At 43.4% G+C, this 20,100-nt stretch overlaps 1 protein-coding gene across 9 annotated transcripts in view; it reads left to right on the forward strand.

Annotated features, from left to right (window-relative positions):
- Positions 1-6,689, forward strand: part of AFG1L (AFG1 like ATPase) — a 230,948-nt gene extending 224,259 nt beyond the window's left edge. For all 9 annotated transcript variants that reach the window (NR_136553.2, NM_145315.5, NM_001323005.2 and 6 more), the window contains 2 exons: positions 385-498; positions 2,985-6,689. Coding sequence is in view for 8 of the 9 variants with exons in the window: in NM_145315.5 (NP_660358.2) it covers positions 385-498; positions 2,985-3,113 (243 nt within the window). In the remaining variant the exon portion in view is untranslated. The remainder of the gene's footprint in view (positions 1-384; positions 499-2,984) is intronic.
- The last annotated feature ends 13,411 nt before the right edge of the window (positions 6,690-20,100 follow it).

The following is a 20,100-nucleotide window of genomic DNA, read 5'->3' on the forward strand; positions in this document are numbered from 1 at the left end:
TGTGGAGTAAGTTTCAGCATGAATTTTGGATGGGACAAAAACATTCAAACCAGAGCAGTAATGGCAAAAGCATTGGACTAAGAACTGAAGATCTGGGCTGACATCTTGAGCTGAGTCCTCTCCAGCCCTGAAGTCTCCCAATAAACCTTTGTGCCCTACTTCACAGGGTGGTATGAGTTGTGTGGAAATATTCTGAAAAGTACTATGCAGTTTTAAAACACTGCTTTAAAGAGATAAACAATTAGGGAAAAAAAATGGACGTCTTAAAAGCAAAGATCCAAGCTCCTGTATGTGAAAAACAGACTTTTATTTTGTGAGATTTTTCTTACCTTCAACTTGTGAAATGTAAAGAGTAACACATTTACCCATTTTCTTCTATTTCAGGTGCGTATAATTTGCTCTGCGTCGACTCCTATATCAAGCTTATTTTTGCATCAACATCATGACAGTGAGTTGGAGCAAAGCAGAATACTGATGGATGATTTGGGGCTGAGCCAGGTAGGCGATATTAACATAATCTCTTTTTATTATAAAACAGCTTAATTGTTTTTGGTTTGATGCATGGCTACATTTTGAAGAAGAAATGCAGTGTATAGTTAACCATTGATTGGCGCTTCTTCTATAAGCCCATGTAGCAAATTTATCATTCTCAATATCACTGAATATAGAAAATTATAAACTTACAGTGGAAGGAACCTTAGTGGTCATGTAGTTCAGTGCTCCATTTTGCATGTGATAAAAATGAAGCCCACGGAGGTGGACTAAGGTGCCCACAGTCACACTGCTGAATAATGGCAGGCCAGAGCTGGATGCCAAACCACCTGTGCCCGGTTCTGGGCTTGCTCTGCTATACCATGCTGCCCTTTCTGGGTATCTTTCTAAATGATTGCTGGATTTGTAGAGTGCATGATACAGTATCCAAGCATGTAGGCTGGCTAGTCCAGGACCATGGAGTGCCTAGCAAGGCCCCAGGCTTGAAAAGAAATCCCTAACTAATCTCTCAACCTCCATTCTGCAAACATTTATGGAGTACCTGTGGGTGCCAGGCTCTGAGGACACTCTGTAGGGAACAAACAGATGCTAGTCCAGTTCTCCTGGAGCTTGGAGTCTGGTGATTCACCCCAGGCCAACTAGAAGTGACTTTGCGTTTTCTTCTTCTATAAGAACGTTATGAGATGTGTTTCTCAACTATCGACAACTGAAATATTAGTCAAAAGTTTACAACTATCAACACTCACCCCATGAGGGGAGCCCAATTCTTCCAGCCCCACAGGTGAAAGACCTCTGGAACAAGGAAACAATTCCTTATCAACCTGAATAGAAATGAGGCATTTTCAGGAGTTTGGGAGAACGAGGCCAATTTAAAAAGTGAACTTTCCAATATGATGACTTAAACCTATGTGTATGTCTTAGTCTGCTATAACAAAACACCATGAACTGGGTAGCTTACAGACAACAGAAATTTATTTCTAACAGTTCTGGAGGCTGGGAAGTCCAAGATCAGGGTGCCAGATTTGGCATCTGATGAAGGCCCACTTCCTAGTTCCTAAGCCTCTGTCTTTTCTGTATAAACCTCACATGGTGGAAGGGGTGAGGGATCTCTCTGGGGCATGTTTTATAAAGGCATTAATCCCATTCATGAGGGCTCCACCCACAAGACCTAATCATCTCCCAAAAGCTCCGCCTCCAATACCATCACCTTATGGGTTAGGATTTCAGCATATGAATTTTGGATGTACATAAACATTCAGCTCTAACCTAGAACAGTTTCATCCTGAAACCATCCCCCTGCCCCTGGTCCATGGAAAAATTGTCTTCCACGAAACTGGCCCCTGGTGCCAAAAGGTTGGTAAAGTTTACATCATTGGCTCTTAAAACTTTTTTCCCCTAGGCTGGTGCAATGGGTCATTCCTACAATCCTAGCACTTTGGGAGGCCGAGGTGGGCAGACTGCTTTGAGCTCAGGAGTTCAAGACCAGCCTGGGCAACATGGTGAAACACCCATTTCTACAAAAAATAAAAAATAAAATAAAAAAAATTAGCTGGGTGTGGTGGCACACACCTGTAATCCTAGCTACTGGGGAGGCTGAGGCAGGAAGATCACTTGAACCCAAAAGGCAGAGGTTGCAGTGAGGCAAGATGGCACCACTGCACTCCAGCCTGGGTGACAGAGTGAGACCCTATCTCAAATTCCCCTAGGATCAAGAAAAAATAAGCTCAGCAGACAGAGCCAATCATGCATGAAGAAATCAGGGAATGTGATCTCAGGGTCATGAAGGTTCACAATGGATCAGTGGAGAAGATGGACTTAGGAATCTAGAATTTTTCTCTGAAAAAGCATACTAGCAAACCCCTAAGGAAAGAGAAAAATTCCAAGCCCACTTAGTGGCCATGAGTCTGTGTTGGTATCACCAGTCTGGGGTTACCAGCCTCACAGAGACAGAGTTTCCCAATTTGGTCCTAGATGGTGGGATCAGTTGTCCCAGCAGCTGAAGACTAAAAACAGCCCTGCCTTTCAGCCCTGGCTTTTAGATCCCAGGCACATTCTCCAGAACCCAGACCCACTGCTCATTTGCATTTGCTCTCCTTTAGTCATTGGTTGGATTGGAAAACGCTCTCCAGAGGTTTGTCCTTAGGGCCTCCCCCTTAGGCACTGGGACCCTGTCTGGAGGCCTACACCAGCCTCTTTCTAGCTTCTCAGAACTACTGGTTTTTTTTTTGCCATTACTTATTTCTGGTGTACACTTTTGGAGAAAGTTTTCCCTTTTAAGTTTTCTCTCTGATAATTTGATGTGTTTACTGCCTATCAGTTTAAATTGGTTGACTCTCTAGTCTCATTTAAGAGATTGTATATGGAAAAAAAAAGTTATAAAAAAAGGCATAATCTAAACCGGTAAGCCTAAAAAGTTTTTTTAAACCTATACTTAGGTTCTGTAAATTTTCATTTGTGATAGCTTTATTTTAATTTCTTTGTTTTATAACCAGGATTCAGCAGAAGGACTCTCCATGTTTACCGGAGAAGAGGAAATCTTTGCATTTCAGCGCACAATTTCCCGACTCACGGAAATGCAGACTGAACAGTACTGGAATGAAGGAGACAGAACCAAGAAGTAACTGCCACTTTTGCATAAATAAAACTCTAGACAAATGGTTAACGCAGGCAGAACTCCTTATTGTGGGACTTGAAGGAATCATTTTCTCATCATTAATTATGCACTTTGTCCTCTGGACCATTTTAATCTAAAATTGCTCTCAAGGATCTAGTGGATTAGTAAGTTAAACACTTAACATTTTTTAGGTCTGCTTTTTCTTATTTGGCCTTATTTCTGCACCATGAAATTAAAATCATCTCATTCCTGAAGATGAATGTAGGACCAGACATTTTAGCTTCACATTAAACCACCTGAATGAACCTTGAATGCACAAGTAAATGCAAGACGTCTGGATACCTTCAAGCTTTGGCTGCATGGTGGTGGCATGTTAGAAATACATCTTTTATAATGGGGGAAGAATGCCCTATGTTTCAATTCAAAACAAAGACAGTTTTCCAATCTGATATAAACTAAAAGGGATAATATTTTAGAATATGGGCTTATATGTGGTTTTTTTTTTTGGTTATGAATTACAGTAAATCTCCCAGGCCTTCAGATTTCTACATAATGGAAGAATATGTTTTTAACCCTGAGATCAAGTTTAGTAGGCAGGACTTGATCTCAAGTGGTCACAAAGTTTTCTAAAAAAAAATAGAAAATTATGATGGGATCAAATAAGGAGCAAGTGTCAAATTCCAGCCAACAGGCAGATCTGCAGGCAGAGCTACAAACTCTGCAGCCAGGAATGGGGACCAGTGAGAGAGTGTGGGCGGGGGGGTGGGTGTCAGAGTCGTAGGCACTCCAACAGCAGAGGAGACTCCCGCTCACATGAGGCCAGCCGTACCCCAGTGGACAGCAGGCTCCTTCTCACTGTTGTAGACACTTGCTCTCCTTGCAGCATGCTGCCCCCGCCCTTGCCGCCAACTCTGCCGTGAGATGGACCTAATAGGAAATAGGAAAGAAAGCCTGACAAGCCTGCTTCACAGGAAATCTGATTTGTCCTTCACTGAGCTCATCTTTTGCTTCTTTGAGTAAAACCTGGCTTTACTAACTATTGTCACAAAGTGGATCTTCGGCTGTGGATGAGTGTGAAAAACAGAAAAAATATAAAATCCACAAAATCTTGTGAAAATTAAGCATTTGGGGGAAGGTAAGGCATAGGTGAGTCAGTCCAATGAATACAATGGTCAACATAAGTAAGCTCTTTGAACCTATTTATTTTCTATTTATTATTATTTTTATTTTTTATATCTTGGCCACTCTAGCCATCTCCTGGCAGGGGTAGTGTGGCACAGCATGGCCCTATTTAATTTCTTAGTCAATAATCCATCACATAGTCTCTTTTAGATATTAACCTAATTAAGGCAAGCAGGTAGATGGATGAGTACCCAAGCCGAGAGAAGAGTTTAAATCAAGCCTTCTGTAAATAAAATGTGGTTTAAAGATATTTTTATTGAAGTGAAACACAGTAATTTCAAAGAGGTTACGTAATAGGGAGAAAGGATGGGAAATAACCACTTTGTGCTGGATTGAATGCTATATATTTACATTAGCTCAGTTAAAAAAAATAGTCTTAGAAAGTGAATATTATAACCCCTGTTTAAAAATAAGAAAACTGAGTCTTGGGAAAGTTAAGTAGCTTGACCTGAGATTCACAGTTTACAACTACAAAACTCATATACTATATTTTATAACACACTGTCTCTTACTCTTACTATTTAAAAAAAAGAGATTGTTTTAAAAATTGATTCATTTAACTCAGTGAATGAAGTTGAAGATAAATTCACAACAGAACCATTGATTTGAACTCAGTGAATATAAAATGTTTAACTTTATTCTTTAGATCTTAGCTTTTTACTTTTCACATTCCTTTGGTAATTATTCTGTATCTTAATTTTTAAAAAAATCATGTGAATGGACAGACAGATAGATGGACAGTATGACCGATAGACAGACCTGTCCCTGAGTGTGAGTGTATGTAGAAGAGTCCCCCTGTCAAGTTATGTTATAAAAGTTCATCTGAGGTCAGATATTGGGAATAAAGTTTCATTTTTCCATCGAAACAATCACGTAATGTTAGTTGGGGTGCTGGTCAAACGCATAGAAGCCTATGTAATTCTCAGTGTAGCTTCCCTATAATGTCATTTTGGTACGAAAGAACTTAAACCCTGAGAAAAAAACTGTAGCTCAGTCTCCACCTAAGTAACTGGAGCATGTGCCCACTTCTGTGCCCCCAATCCGCAATCTCCTTCCCCAGTTCCAGGGGCCTGCTGGGATTGGCTGCAGTGGAAGAGGCTCTTTGAGCTGGGAGAAGGGTTTATGCAGAAAGTGGGGCTAGAAGGCTTTGGCTGGATCTCTGGAGGGGAGGGAGTTCCATGGTGGCTGGAAATCTCCAAAGCTGGTTTCATAAAATAGCATGCAAGAAAAAAACCCAAGTCTTCAAGAATAGCCATCACTAGGAAACAGTATGGTAGCTCTACTAAAAGAAAAGTAATGCCAACATGAAAAACAACCCCTAGATTGGAGAGCAACATTTCACTTTATATGTCTTTCTTCTGAGCCCTGCCCCTATTACATTCTCAGCATTCCAGTCTTTCTCCATAGAAGTCTCTCAGCAAATGCTCTTTTTTTGAAATGCTTTAAATGTATACTTTGAGACGGAGGTTTGAGCTGAGTACTGCTGTGGAAAGCTCCTGCTCAATTCAAAACACAGACCGGGGGGATGTCTTTAGAGTCAGGAGAAAACATCATGTGCCAAGGGTGCTCTCCAAACTGATGACTAGTTCCCAGACTTAACAGAGGTCAAGCGGAGAAAAAGGAAAACTTTCTTTAGAGAAGAAAAAGAAAAATCTTATCACTTCTCATATTTCTTTAGGCAGTGTATGAGCTTATTTGCTGATATCACTAATCCTGAGATGAAAAACAGGATGGACTTAAGTAATTTTTAACCTATTTCTGAGGCCAAAAAGACTGTAGTATTATTTTAATCAAATTTATGCATTTTCAGTGGGACTTCAAATTTTAATAATAAGGCAATACTTTTATCTTCTTAAAGTATATTTCCTGTACTTATAAGTGTGCAAATGACATAATTTTAAAATTAGTTGGAATATTGAAAAAAATTAAAATTTCACTTGTAAAATAAGTGGATGTGCTTATATCCATTTATTTATTTAAGAAACACATGATGTTTTCTGTGTCCTGGGCATGGTTCTATGTGCTTTATAAATAAACTCTTTTGATCCATATAACAGTCTTATGAGATAGGTGCCATTATAATCATTTTATAGACAGGGAAGCTGAGACACAGAAAACAGCTAAAACAGATTAATGAATTGCTAAGATATAACCGAAGTCAATAAAATTAGCAAAGTGCTAACGTATTAAATTTTCCATTTCATTGCCTCTGTCCTGAAAACAGTATTGCTGGTCCAAGTAACTTGAACCTACACTTGACGGCTGCTTTATCTGAGATTAAAAACATGCAGAAGGATTGGGCGCCTGGGTCCCTGACATTTGGGTTCTTGATCAGTTACGGGAATCTGTCTTGCAGCAAGTCTGTAAGTTACCTTTATTAGATTTACTAATCTCAAAAGAAGTCACTTGCTGGTAGGAAAGGATTTTCTTTGGAAATGAGTTTATAACTTCTTTTACAGTCAGAATTAAGATGAATGTTCCCTATTGGCATATAGCAGTTCATTTTTCTGGAACAGAAAATTACAAATGTTAAAATCTGCCCTCTTGTCGAGTGTCTACTGACTCAGTCCAGCAGCTCACTAGGACCCTCACATCTGTTGCCCTAGCTGGTCATTCGGTCCAGTCAAACATGCCTGTCCACTGACCTTTCGTCTGTGCTGCATGGAGCCATCAGTCTGTCTTACCTGCTTGCCTAGGGGGCTTTCTGGATGTCGTCCCGAGAATTTTCCTGTCTCAGGGCTGTACTTTCTGGGTTCCCGGTGGTTGATTGCTGGTCTCTAATGATGCAGTGGAAAGGGCTTGAGATCTGGCATTGGAAAATTCAGTTCTGCTAATTATTGTTTTGTGACCTCGACCAAGATAGTGCTCTGAGCCTCAGTTGTGTCATCTTATAAATGGGAATCATAATGCCCATTTCATAGAGTTACTATGAGGATTGTTGGTGAAAAGCGCTTTGCAAATGGCAAAGGATTAAACGAACATCAGTTGTTATTGATACTAATGATTATGATCATAAATCCTACTTTCTGCTTTGTGTTATAGCCTTTTGAGGAATGCAAAACAGAAGACACATTCCAACCCACTGGTTTCTAACAGAAGGGAAAAGATACGCATTAAATGGCTAGACACCAAGAGCACACGGGTCTGGCTTAATGAGATGCTGGAGAAGATTGTTAAATTCAAATCCATGTTTTCAGGATTAATACAGAAAATGAATTGTTGCTTGTTTGGTGAACATCAAAGATTTCCCAGAAAGAGGGCACCATCTTGTGGTCAGTAGGATGAACTGACAGGAGAAAAAAAAAAGGCCAGTGGTTCTCAAGGCTACACATTCCTAGGCCTAGGTCCACATCCAGGGTCAGGTATGGTGGGTCAGATGTGGGGCCCCAGCATCAGCACTTGTTAATGTTCCTTGTAAGATTCTAAGGTGCAGCAGGGTTGATCACCGCCAATCAGGCAGGCCGTGGAGCTCTTGCCTGTGACTACACAGCCGGTACGCACAGAGAGCCCTGCCTGCAGCTGGGTCCTGACTCTGGGCGCCTGATGCAGAGACCACGGCACTTTCCAGGGAGCAGAGGCTGTTGCTATGATTCCTGGAGCCCAGGTCATCAGCACACTGGCACACACAAAGTCACCTCCCAGAGCCCACCCCTCTCCTCCCTGGGGACCAAGGCTCCTCTGCCTTTCTTCTCCACCCACACTAACAACGTCAAAATAGTTAACCACGCAGCACTTCCTAGTTTAGAAAGCACTTTAGGAGGCCAAGGCGGAAGGATCGTTTGCTCCTACCATATCCGTCGTCCACAGCAAATTCTGCAAGGGAGATGCAATTATCCTACTACCCATGAGGAAACTGGGGCACTCGGAGGGTAAGTGGTTTCACAAGCATATCGAGTAAGCATATGTCTTCTGGATCCCGACCCTGTGCTCTGCAGCCCTTCTGGTAGTAGTAATAATAGTAGCCCCCATTTTAAAGTCATCGTGGGTCTTGAGGCTAGAACAGGAAAGATGTGGGTGTAGGGGTATGCACAAGGGTGTTGTTTTGCACAACCCCATATGTGATGGCAAAGAACTGGAATCAGTGGTTGGCAAACTTTGAAATATTTAATCTTCACAATAATTGAGAGAGTGTCCTACTTTGTCACCCAGGCACAATCATGGCTCGCTGCAGCCTTGACCTCCCAGGCTCAAGTGATCCTTCCACCTCAGCCTCCTAAGTAGCTGGGACTACAGATATGCACCACCATGCTGAGCTAATTTTTAAAATTTTTTTTAAAACACAGATGGGCTCTGGCTATGTTGGCAGGGCTGGTCTCGAACTCCTGGGCTCAAGTGATCCTCCCACCTTGGCCTCCCAAAGTGCTGGAATTATAAGCATGAGCACCACGTTTGGCCCCACTTTCCACTTTCAAAATGCTTGCAGACCCCAAAGAGCTTTTATGTGGGTGGGATATATAATCACCAGTATTAGAAATCAAACAGAAATTGTTAGATATTTAATTCATTTAAAAATAACAATAAGCACATGAAATATTACCTAAATAGCATTATGAAAAGTAACAGCATTTCCAAAACAAAAAACAAGTTAGTGAGAAAAGTGGCATTGTTTTAAATTTTTGCCAATGTCTGGTTTAGTAAAATACAGACAGATTCTGTTGGAATATCACACATCATGTAGCTCCTGAAAAAATCAACTGTGTGCATGTGGGAGAATGAGTGAGAAAGGTAAATAATGTCTTAGTGGTTTTATGGAAAATGACTTTGACCTCATGGACTCACTAAGAGTCACAGGTCCCTCAAGGGTCCCTGGACCACCCTTGGACAAGGCTGAGTTTATTGCTAATGGGATGAAGGATTCCCATGTGCCCACTGGAGCCCACTGGTAAGAGCTGGTATTGGCAACTGGAGTGGAGAGGGGGTGCTAAGCATGGGAAGGGTGGGGCCAAGCTGGATGGGAATTTGAATACAGGAGAAGATGGTAGCCAGTCTACCCATTGAGACCCCCTAGCCACTGCCTCATGTCATCCTTGTTGCTGCCTACTGCTCTGAGCCCTAAGCACTTTGCCAGCCCAGCCCCAACCTTGCAACTCTCTTCTTTAGCTTCTCCTCCTGTGTCTCAGCTCCTCCTTCTCTGAAAGCTTCTGGTTCCTTTTCCTTTTCTCACCATCTAAGTTCTTTCTTGGATCCACATAAAAATGGCGATTATAAAAAACAACACCCAATATTATACAAAGTACTTTCACACATAACGTCTTTTTCACACTCTTTTCTTGATGTCCATAGCAACAAATACCAGCCGATGCCAGTTATTCTCAAGTGTGTCTTCCCATCCCTGACTCCACCAGTCTCCTGTTCTGTACTTCCAATTGCCTACTGGATCTCTCCTTTTGAATGTTGCGTAAACTCAGTGTGTCTCAAATAGTTACCCAACCCAATCCTCCACACTGAAATATTTTCTGGCAGTGCTACACCTTTTGCAGTGATACTGTCTCAGGCACTCACACAGCTGCAGTACTCTAATACTCTGCCACTGGCCCCTTGGCAGTCGACAAGAGCCAGTGATGTTGGGAACAGAAAAGAAGGGATAGACATTAGAATCATGTTACATGATGGAGAAAGGGTTCAAGATAAGTATCAGTGCAGGACAGGACTTGGAGAATGGTTAGTTATTGGAATGAATGGCAAATCCAACAATCTGAAGACAGGAGCAGTTTGAGCAAAGGTGATCCCAGGACTTTCAGCCTGTCCTGCATGTTTCTACGGTTTCGTCTACAGTGACTGGATCAGTTCTGGAGTCTCCCAGTTCTCATTATCCACCTGGGGGCTGGGGATAAGACTCCAGAGAGTCCTAGGACAAGCTGGCCTTTGGGAATGCAGTAGATAGTTCTCATTTCTCTGATTCACTCTTTAATTTATTGAATAAACACTGTCAAGTGCTTCTTATGACAAGGCACTCTGCTAGATGCTATGTGGGACATAATGAAGTTTACAGCTTTAAAAAAAAAAAGTCATTATTTTGGCCAGGCACGATGGCTCACGCCTATAATCCCAACACTTTGGGAGGCCAAGGTTGGGGGATCACTTGAAGCCAGGAGTGAAAAGAAAGAAAAAAGAAAAAGAAAAAGAGTTATTATTTTAATAGGAGAATCTATAGATTGGTTACATTGCTCCTTAAGGAAAAGTCAGCAATTTAAATCAAAATTAAAGCTTGAATCTCTAAAACTGGCTAACCTCATCTGGAACATGTGGCTCCCGCTTGCACCTAAGATCACCTTCTCCATTGTCTACCAGGCTAGCGTGAGCCACACCTGTTCAGTTTTCCAACTATCAGCTAAGAGAAAGACTTCATTAATATTTGGAGGATACAGGCCGGGCACAGTGTCTCATACTTGTAATCCCAGCACTTTGGGAGGCTGAGGCAGGTGGATTGCTTGAGGCCAGGGGTTCAAGACCTGCCTGGCAAACACGGTGAAACCCCATATCCACAAAAAATATGAAAATTAGCCAGACATGGTGGTTTGTGCCTGTAATTCCATCTTCTTGGGAGGCTGAGGCAGGAGAATCACTTAAATCCAGGAGGCGGAGGTTGTAGTGAGCCGAGACTGTGCCTTTGCACTCCAGCCTGGGCAACAGAATGAAACTCTCAAAAATATATATATATTTTGGGGAAACAGATAATAAATTCAGAAAATACTTGGAATCTAGATGATATGGCTAATAAAATTTAATGTGATCATCTTCAGCATGAATCTCCACTTTGTTCTAGCTCTCCTTCCAGATTCCAGATACCTCTTCTATCCCCTCCACAAGACGATACTCACAGACATACATATACCTCTGAGTGCTTCCTGGAAAGGGCAGAGTCCAAAAAGAAGCCTCTTCTCCATGACAGTCATTGCTAGAACTTGCCCATAACCAGTTCTCTCTTTCCAAGCACACAGGTGGGGTCACACTTTCTGCCCCCTTGGCAGTTAGGCAAGGCCATGTGATTATTTCTGAGCAGTTAGTTGGCAGTGAGTGGAAGTGATGTGACATGTGTCATTTCCAAGGTGAAGCTCTTACTAGCTGGCTTGAGAACTTTTAGATCTCTTTTCTTTTGCATGGAAAACCTGGAAATACCATGTTGAGACAGAGACACCCAAGATAAAATTGCCTGGAAGGCTGAGCCACCACATGAAAATGCCAAACTACCCATGGCAAATGCTGTGTGAGCAAGAAATAAAATTACATTCTGTTTTTTTCTTGGAGAAATAAGGGAAAAAATAAAAATAAATTACATTCTAATAAACCATGGAGACCTTTGGCGTTATTTGTTATGGCAGCATAATCCAGCTTGTCTTGGCTATACACCAGACGGCCCGCAGGCCAGCCCCTTCAGGGTCTGTTTCTTGTCTGAGGACCTGACCCTTCCTTGGGAATTGACACTAAGAATGGCTGCTCTCCTTGGCTTCATCTCCAGACCCATGTGGCTTGTCTCTGGAGGGCTTAGCAATAGCAACACATCTCTCTATTGCCCCAAACCTCAACATTCACACATATGCTATAACTGCCCCAAGAAGAACCCCCCTGCATCCCTTAACTTTAAATACTGTCTTACTTGGGTTTTGTGTTTTTGGGTCACAGTGAAAATATTAGGTAGACAGGTTTAAATGTATCCGATGACTTTAAACCCGACTTTGATACTCAAGTGGCCAAGAAAGCTGCTTCCAATTCTTTAGGGCTTGGACTTGAGCCGTCAGTTGTTTAAAACTCTAAGCAGATGCAAGTTATAAAAACCATTTGTTCACATATGAAGTCTGCATCCATAGAAAACCATTTTCAGAGTTGAAATCAATCTAACCAAAGAAGAATAGGCAGGGCATAAAATCAAGCAGTGCCAAGGCACATGCTTAACCTGACCCATAAGGAATCCAGCCTTTCATTCCTCCAGCAGGTGGGGATCCAGAGGCATCCTGAGAGAAGGGGCAGGTGGGAAGAACAGAGCACCATTAGGAGTCAGGAGTGTATCTGAGATCCTGTACTGCTACTAACCATATATAATCTCATGCACATAACTTTGGGTAAGTCACTTAATGTTACTCTTTGGGCCTCATCTAAGACCTTTATTTCTGTGAAGCTCTGATGATTTATAGTTTGATCAAACGGTGTATACAGATGGCCCATACACACACGAAAAGATGCTCAGTATCATGACTCATTAGGGAAATGCAAATCAAAATCACTGTGAGACACCACTTCACACTACTAGGATGGTTAGAATCAAAGAGATGGAGAATAAAAAAGGCTGGCAAGGATGTGAAGAAATTGGAACTCATATGCTGCTGATGAAAATGTAAAATGGTATAGCTTTGGAAAACAGTTTGGCAGCTCCTCAAAATATTAAGCATCTAGCAATTCTACTCCTAGATACCTAAGAGAAATAAAAATATATATCCGCACAAGAACTTGTACATGAATGTTTGCAAAAGATTATTATATTAGCCCCAAAGTGAAAACCCAAATGTCCACTACCTGATGAATGGATAAACATGATGTGGCATTACATACAAAGTAGTAGTATCCAGCAACGAAAATGAAGTCCTGATACGTGCTGCTACAAGGATGGACCTTGAAAACATTATTCTCAGTGAAAGAAGCCAATCATGAAGGGCACACATATGTATGGCTCCATGTGTATGATATGTCAAGTAGGCAAATCTATAGCGATAAAGAGTAGGGCCTGGGGGTGAGGGCAGGAATGAGGAATAATTGCTAATGGGTACAAGATTTCTTTTAGGGGTAATGAAAACATCTGAAATTAGATTGTAGTGGTGATCGCACAACTCTGTGACTAGACTAAAAATTGCTGAACTGTGTGCCTTCCATGGTTGGATTTTATGGTATGTGAATTATCAAGCTATTAAAAATAGTGTACAGGGCTGGGCACGATGACTCACGCCTGTAATCCCAGCACTTTGGGAGGCCGAGGCGGGCGGATCACTTGAGGCCAGGAGTTCAAGACCAGCCTCGCTGACATGGCAAAACCCTGTCTCTACTCAAAATACAAAAATTAGCTGGGCATGGTGGCGCACGTCTGTGATCTCAGCTACTTGGGAGGCTGAGGCACTAGAATTGCTTGAACCCAGGAGGTGGAGGCTGCAGTGAGCCGAGATCATGTCACTGCACTGCAGTCTGGGTGATAGAGTGAGACTCTGGCCAAAAAAAAAAAAAAAAAAAAAGGTGTACAGATATTCACCATTCATTCATTCATTCATTCATCATTTACTTGCTGTCTACTCTGTGCCAGGAGCCGGGCACACTGAGAATAATGAGACAAACTCCCTCACCATGACAGACTTGTAATCTTTTAGGGACAACAGACAGACATAATGTGGTGTCAAGGAAGAGCCTTGCCCAGGTATCCTGGGAAGACCAGGGCACTCAAGTCAGCCAGGAAATGTAGTAAAAGGCATAGAAAGGACTGAGGGACAAACACTGTGCTGGGGAGGAGAGATGCAGAATAACAAAACCCATCCCTAGTCTCCAGGAGATGAAAAGAGTTGAGAGAGCACCAGTGCAGGGCCGAGTGTCATCCATACAACGAGAAATTACAAAGTGCTCTGGCAATTCAGAAGAGGGAGCTATAATGAATGTTATTCTTCTGAATGTTCAGAGAGAAATTAGACATAATTTGGTCCTTCAAGACATAACAATTCCCCTTTAGAACCCCAAATTCAGGGTGCACAGTGTAAAAACTGCTGCTATCATCAAAATGTGTCCCTCATTTTGCACTAATAACCTATCACATTTTAACCAAACTTTGAAAAGGCAGAATATTAAATTCAATTGCTAAAGAAGTATCAGTTGATTTCTATTGATTAGAGCAACATAGTTTGTAGAATTAAAAATAATTGCTTATGCTTTTGTGGTACTGACATAATTAGATTTAACAGCACAAAAATAATGCTCAAGCCATGACAAAGCAACTTTAAGTCTGGGGCAAAATAGACAGCTGATGTATGGATGAGCTAAACTCCCACCTTACCATCACCACTTTGTAGCCCATAGTTACATGTGGGGAATAAGGAAGAGAAGGGGCCAGGTGCAGTGGCTCATGCCTGTAATCCCAGCACTTGGGGAGGCCAAGGCGGGTGGATCACCTGAGCTCAAGAGTCCAGCCTGGGCTTCACGGTCAAACCCTGTCTCTACAAAAAATACAAAAATTAGCCGGGTGTGCTGGTGCACGCCTGTAATCCCAGCTACTCTGGAGGCTGAGGCAGGAGAATTGCTTGAGCCTGGGAGGTGGAAGTTGCAGTGAGCTGAGATGGCACCACTGCACTCCAGCCTGGGTGACAGAGCGAGACTCTTTATCAATGAAAGAAAGGGAGAGAGAGAGAGAGAGAGAGAGAGAGAGAGAGAGAGAGAGGAAGGAAGGGGAAGGGGAAGGGAGAAAGAAAAAGGGAGAGAGAGAGAGAGAGAGAGGAAGGAAGGGGAAGGGGAAGGGAGAAAGAGAAAAAGAAAGAAAAAGGAAAGGAAGGAAGGAAAAGAAAGAGGGAGGAAGGAAGGAAAAGAAAGGATGGAAGGAAAGAAAGAAGAAAGAAAAGAAAAGGAAAGAAAAGAAAAAAGATGAAGAAAGAAAAAAGAGAGAGAGAGAAAGAAAGAGGAAGGAAGAGAGGATTTGCTGTGGTGGTTGGGAGGGGACTCCTTCATGGAGATGGAGAAGGAGCAGGCAGAATATTGGCACTCAGAGCTCTTGTCATAGCATAAGTTAGAGGGCCCCACGGCAACCTGATGACAGCTAAAGGCAGGTCCCTCTTCTTGCTGTGACCCAGGGCACCGTCCTTATTCAGACTGAACTGAATCTGCAGCCTGTGTGTGCTCTCTAGACCCACCTTGACACTTGGTTTGGGGAAGGCTTTCTCCTCCAAGGCTCTGGTTTGTCCCCAGTTTGTGCCACTGAGTTTCAGTCCCCTTCAACTGTGCCTGAAGGCTAGAATTTATGCCCCAGGGGGCAGGGGCCAGGGAGGGTGTCCTCAGCCTGTTCTTTACTTGACAGCCTGCATCTGCCCCTATTTACATCCTCTGCAGTGCTGAACCTGCTTTCTGTGTTCATTCATTCTTTCCAAGCTCCACATGTGGCAGAAGGGTCTGGACTGGGATCAAGAGAGGCCGGCTAGGTTCTCAGCTCCATGATAGGCAAACCCCAGTTAGTATGGAGCTCGGCTTCCTCACTCACCCAGCTTCATTTGGATTCAGACCCGGGTTAAATACCTGCTGTGTGACCTGGTGTGTTAGCCAAAGTTGCTCAACCTTCATCTCCCCATTCGTAAAATGGGGGAAAGAATACCAACCTTGCAGGGTGCTGTGGGCATCAGAGATCATTACTCACAGTGCCCAGCACTGCGCAGACATTCATTAGCCAGCAATTGTTATCTACGATTGTCCTCAAACCCCCTTCCTATTCTGAGAGAGATGCTGGGTCACAGGCTCCCATTCTTCAGGCTGGCATTTCAGTTCCATCTGGAAGATGAGTAGAGGCAGCCCTGAGGAACCTGCTAGGGGCTCAGAGGCACAGATGATGGCCAGATGTCACTCCTCCACTCCTATTCTTGGACCCTGGCCTGGGGTAGCTTGGCCTTCACCTTCCGGCTTCTCTGCGCAGCACTCACGGCCCTTCATGTTTGCACGTGTGCCCTCTGCTCCCTCTGCCTACATGAAGCAGAATGGAGGGTGGACTTTAGGTCTTCCTCCCAGTGCAAACCTTCTCCTGTGAGACAGACTGCAAAGGGCCGAGGATAATCTGTGCTTGGTGACGTGAACTCATTCTCTAAGCTGAGGCCCTAACCTTTTGTTGTCATGGGCTCCACCAAGAAGCTGAGGATGAATGCTCAGAAATCTCCACTGTAACCAAGTTCTGCACAAAAATCTGCTGAGGTTTTGCATAGATTCTCCAGGGGCTCATGACCACAAGTTCAGACACCTGAGCTCTGGTCCCTCCTCGTGTGTGTGCGGCAGCCTCTCCCAGGGTCTTGGTGCTCGCCTGCTCTCTGGAAGATTAACAAAGTCAGGGTGTTGGTTTTTCCAAGGGCTGAGTTGCTGCGGTTGGAAGTACTGAGGGTGACCTGTACGACCCTCCTCTCAGGTAGGGAGGACTGGGGGTCCTCGGCCACCCAAGAGGCTCCTGAAGAGGGCACCCTGAGGTGCCGGCATGTTCTGGACATCATCATTCATTGGGAGAATCTGACCAAATATGTCATTATATTACATATGAGAACATTATAATCAGCACATTCTCAGCAAAAATGTTCACTTCTTTAACACTATTTTCTTCACACTATTGAGCTCTCATGCAAGTAGAGTTCGCCATTGATACTGTTTGCTGGATGATAATTAAGGATGACTTCCTACATTGTTCCCCAAACCTAGTGAACCATCAGAACCACCTGGGAAGCTAATACAGACTATTCAGCCCCATGCCAAACTTATTGAACTTGGATCTTCTTTGGAGAGGCCCAAAAAACTGTACTTTTAAAATAAGTGTCATCAGTGAACCTAATGATTAACTAAGATTAGGAAACAAGGACTTAATATTGAGTAACATTTAACCTTCCTAAAGAAGGCTTTTTTTTTTTTTTTTTTTTTTTTGGAGACAGGGTCTCACTGTGTCACCCAAGCTGGAGTACAGTGGCATGATCATGACTCGTTGCAAGCTCAAGCCCAACCTCCTGGGCTCAAGTGATCCTCCCACCTCAGCCTCTCAAGCAGCTGGGACTACAGATACACATCACCATGCCTGGCTAATTTTTTTTTTTTTTTTTTTTGAGATGGAGTTTTGCTCTTGTTGCCCAAGCTGGAGTGCAATGGTGCCATCTCGGCTCACTGCAACCTCTACCTCCCAGGTCCAAGCCATTCTCTTGTCTCAGCCTCCCAATTAGCTCGGATTACATGCATGTGCCACCACACCCAGCTAATTTTTTTGTATTTAGTAGAGACAGGGTTTCACCATGTTAGTCAGGCTGGTCGTGAACTCCTGACTTCAGGTGATCCACCCGCCTTAGCCTCCCAAAGTGCTGGGATTACAGGGAGGCAGGGCTGGCTACTTTTTTTTTTTTTTTTTTTTTGATTTTGTAGAGACAGGGTCTCCCTATGTTGCCCAGGCTGGTCTCAAACTCCTGGGCTCAAGTGATCCTCCAGCCTTGGCCTCCCAAAGTGCTGGGATGACAGGCATGAGCCACCGAGTCTGGCCTAATAAAATTGTTTGAGAAATCAAATAATTGATGTTATATACCCAAAGTATTTTAAATATATTTATTAGTTTGATCACTGTTCTCTGACAATTTAAGGCAGCTTTGAGAGATACATGAAGCACAGTAAGTTTTTGTTTGTTTGTTTTGTTTTTTTTAACTGAAGCTAGAGAAATGAGGCAAAGTAGATTGAAACAGGCATTAAACTAAAACTGCGTGGTAACCTCACACATCAAATTTCACTGGAGCAATCCAACTCTTTTATATTTCTGTCTCACTCTCCCTCTCTCTTTTTCCATTAAGTGGTTTTGAGGTCATCTCAAGTGAGGCCATTTCATCAAACTAGACTTTATAACAAAGTACTTTAAGAGGACCAGGGTGAAGCCACTCACTCCATTTTTATGGTCAGTGATCACAGCATCCCTGACCCTTACAGTCTAGTGTGGAGGTGGTGGGTGGAGTGGGGGAGACAGATAGTAAACAAATCACCATAAAAATAAATGAGACAACAACAGGGTGTGTTTAGGACTGAGACAAAAATGAAGACGGGTGCTGTGCTGGGAAGTGTCCAGGGTGCCCTGGGATCAGAAGGTCAGAGAAGGCCTCTGAGGAGACAGCTTTTGTGTGGAGCCCTGCAGGGCATGGGGCCCAGCTGGGTGACCCTCGGGGCAGAGCATTCTAGTCAGAGGGAAGCTGGCACAAGGGCCCAAAGGCAGGGCTGTGTTTGGGGTATGGGAGGAACAGGAAGAACATCTGTGAGTTGGCAACTAATGGCTTTTTTCCCCAGCTGGGTAAAAAGTGTTATTAAAAACCCAATGTATCTGGAATATTGTAGCGGGTGCTACTGCCACATCCCAGGCCACCACCTGTGGATTTTTGTTTGTCCTTGAGAGCGATCTGGTGAGGCCTTCACCCTTCCTCCTCCCTCTGTACTTTCCCCTGATGGGTGTCCCTCTTTGATGGCATCTCCAAAACTTCACCTTATCACCTTTTCTTGGTCCTTTTCCTCTTGCTGCCATAATACAAAAGCCTGTACCACTGAGCAGAATGCCACCTCCTCCAGGAAGCCTTTCTCAGTCCTAGTCAGCATGAACCAGCAGTAAGCGTCTTTGACTCCAGTCTCCCACAGCACTCTGTGAGTATTTCTCCAGCAGCTCTTGCTTCTCTCTACCCTGGACTGTATGGCATGTCTTGCAAACACTTCCCTCATCCCAGTACCTCAGGCAGCCTCAGGAATGGGATCTGGGCTTTATTCTTCACTGTGTCCCACCTATGCTGGGTCCGAATGGGTATCTGCAAATTATAGAGCTTATTGGCTGTTCACAGGCAGTTCGTGAAGCCAGTGTCATGGAGCAGCTGAGCTTTGCTCACCCTGGGTTAGGCGCTTGGGAGGGATAAGAAGGATAAGGCACAGCTGTTGCTCTTAAGAAGCTTAGAAATCTCTGGTGGTGGGGGCAGGCAGGCAGGCAAGGCCAGCACACTGACAGTACCAGTGTGGGGCAGTGGTCGCCAAACTGAGGCAGGAGGGGCACACCACAGAGCACTTGACGACCACGGGTACCCAGCGGGAAGAAAGCACAAGAAATTCTATTTTGTTGTATTAGTGATCTGAAAAATTAGAAATAAAAATTGTTTTACTCATTTTTGCCATCTGGATGGTCCTTAGCACCTCTCTGTGTCCATTGTGAGCCAGCCATGGTCTAACACCTTTCATCCCCAAGGAGACGTGGCATTCGTAATGCTGAGGCCTTGAGGATGGCATTGTCACTTGTGCACTCACCCACAGTGAGTCACCTCACACTACAGTTTACGTGCTACAGGATGTTATGGACATAAGTAATTTTATAAAGACAAGACTTTAAGAAATTTTTTTAAACTTTTTTCTTTCCCATTAACTTTTACAGAAGGCACAAGATCTTTATAGCAGAATCTTTACAGTATTTTGTAAATGAAATGGTGGGGGTAGGGGTGGCCATGACAATCTTTTGTACCACATAAAGGGTTTTGGATTGCTCATGGCAGTGTATAAATGAATTGTTGGACTTAAAGATGAATTATGCACTTTCTTTGAAAAACAATTTTTAAAATCCTTGATTGTCCTAAATTTGCCGACCTTTCCTATAGGAAGTGGTTCACTAGTATGCTACTACAAGTATTTTAAAAATTAGTACTTTCAAGGTATGGGTGATGTTATTTATTTATTTATTTATTTTTGAGACAGAGTTGTGCTCTTTTTGCTCAGGCTGGAGTGCAATGGCATGATCTTGGCTCACAGCAACCTCCGCCTTCCAGGTTCAAGTGATTCTCCTGCCTCAGCCTCCTGAGTAGCTGGGATTACAGGCATGCACCACAACGCCCAGCTAATTTTGTATTTTTAGTAGAGGTGGAGTTTCTTCATGTTGGTCAGGCTGGTCTTGAACTCCTGACTTCAAGTGATCTGCCTGCCTCGGCCTCCCAAAGTGCTGGGATTACAGGCATGAGCCACCACACCTGGCCGGGTGATGTTTTTTAACAAGAGTGAGAAAGAAGAGCCCTTATAACATCAGTGACTGCTGCTAGAAAGAGAACATCTGAGCATCTCTGGAAATG

Source organism: Homo sapiens, chromosome 6 (assembly GCF_000001405.40).
Source record: "Homo sapiens chromosome 6, GRCh38.p14 Primary Assembly".
NCBI lineage: Eukaryota > Metazoa > Chordata > Mammalia > Primates > Hominidae > Homo > Homo sapiens.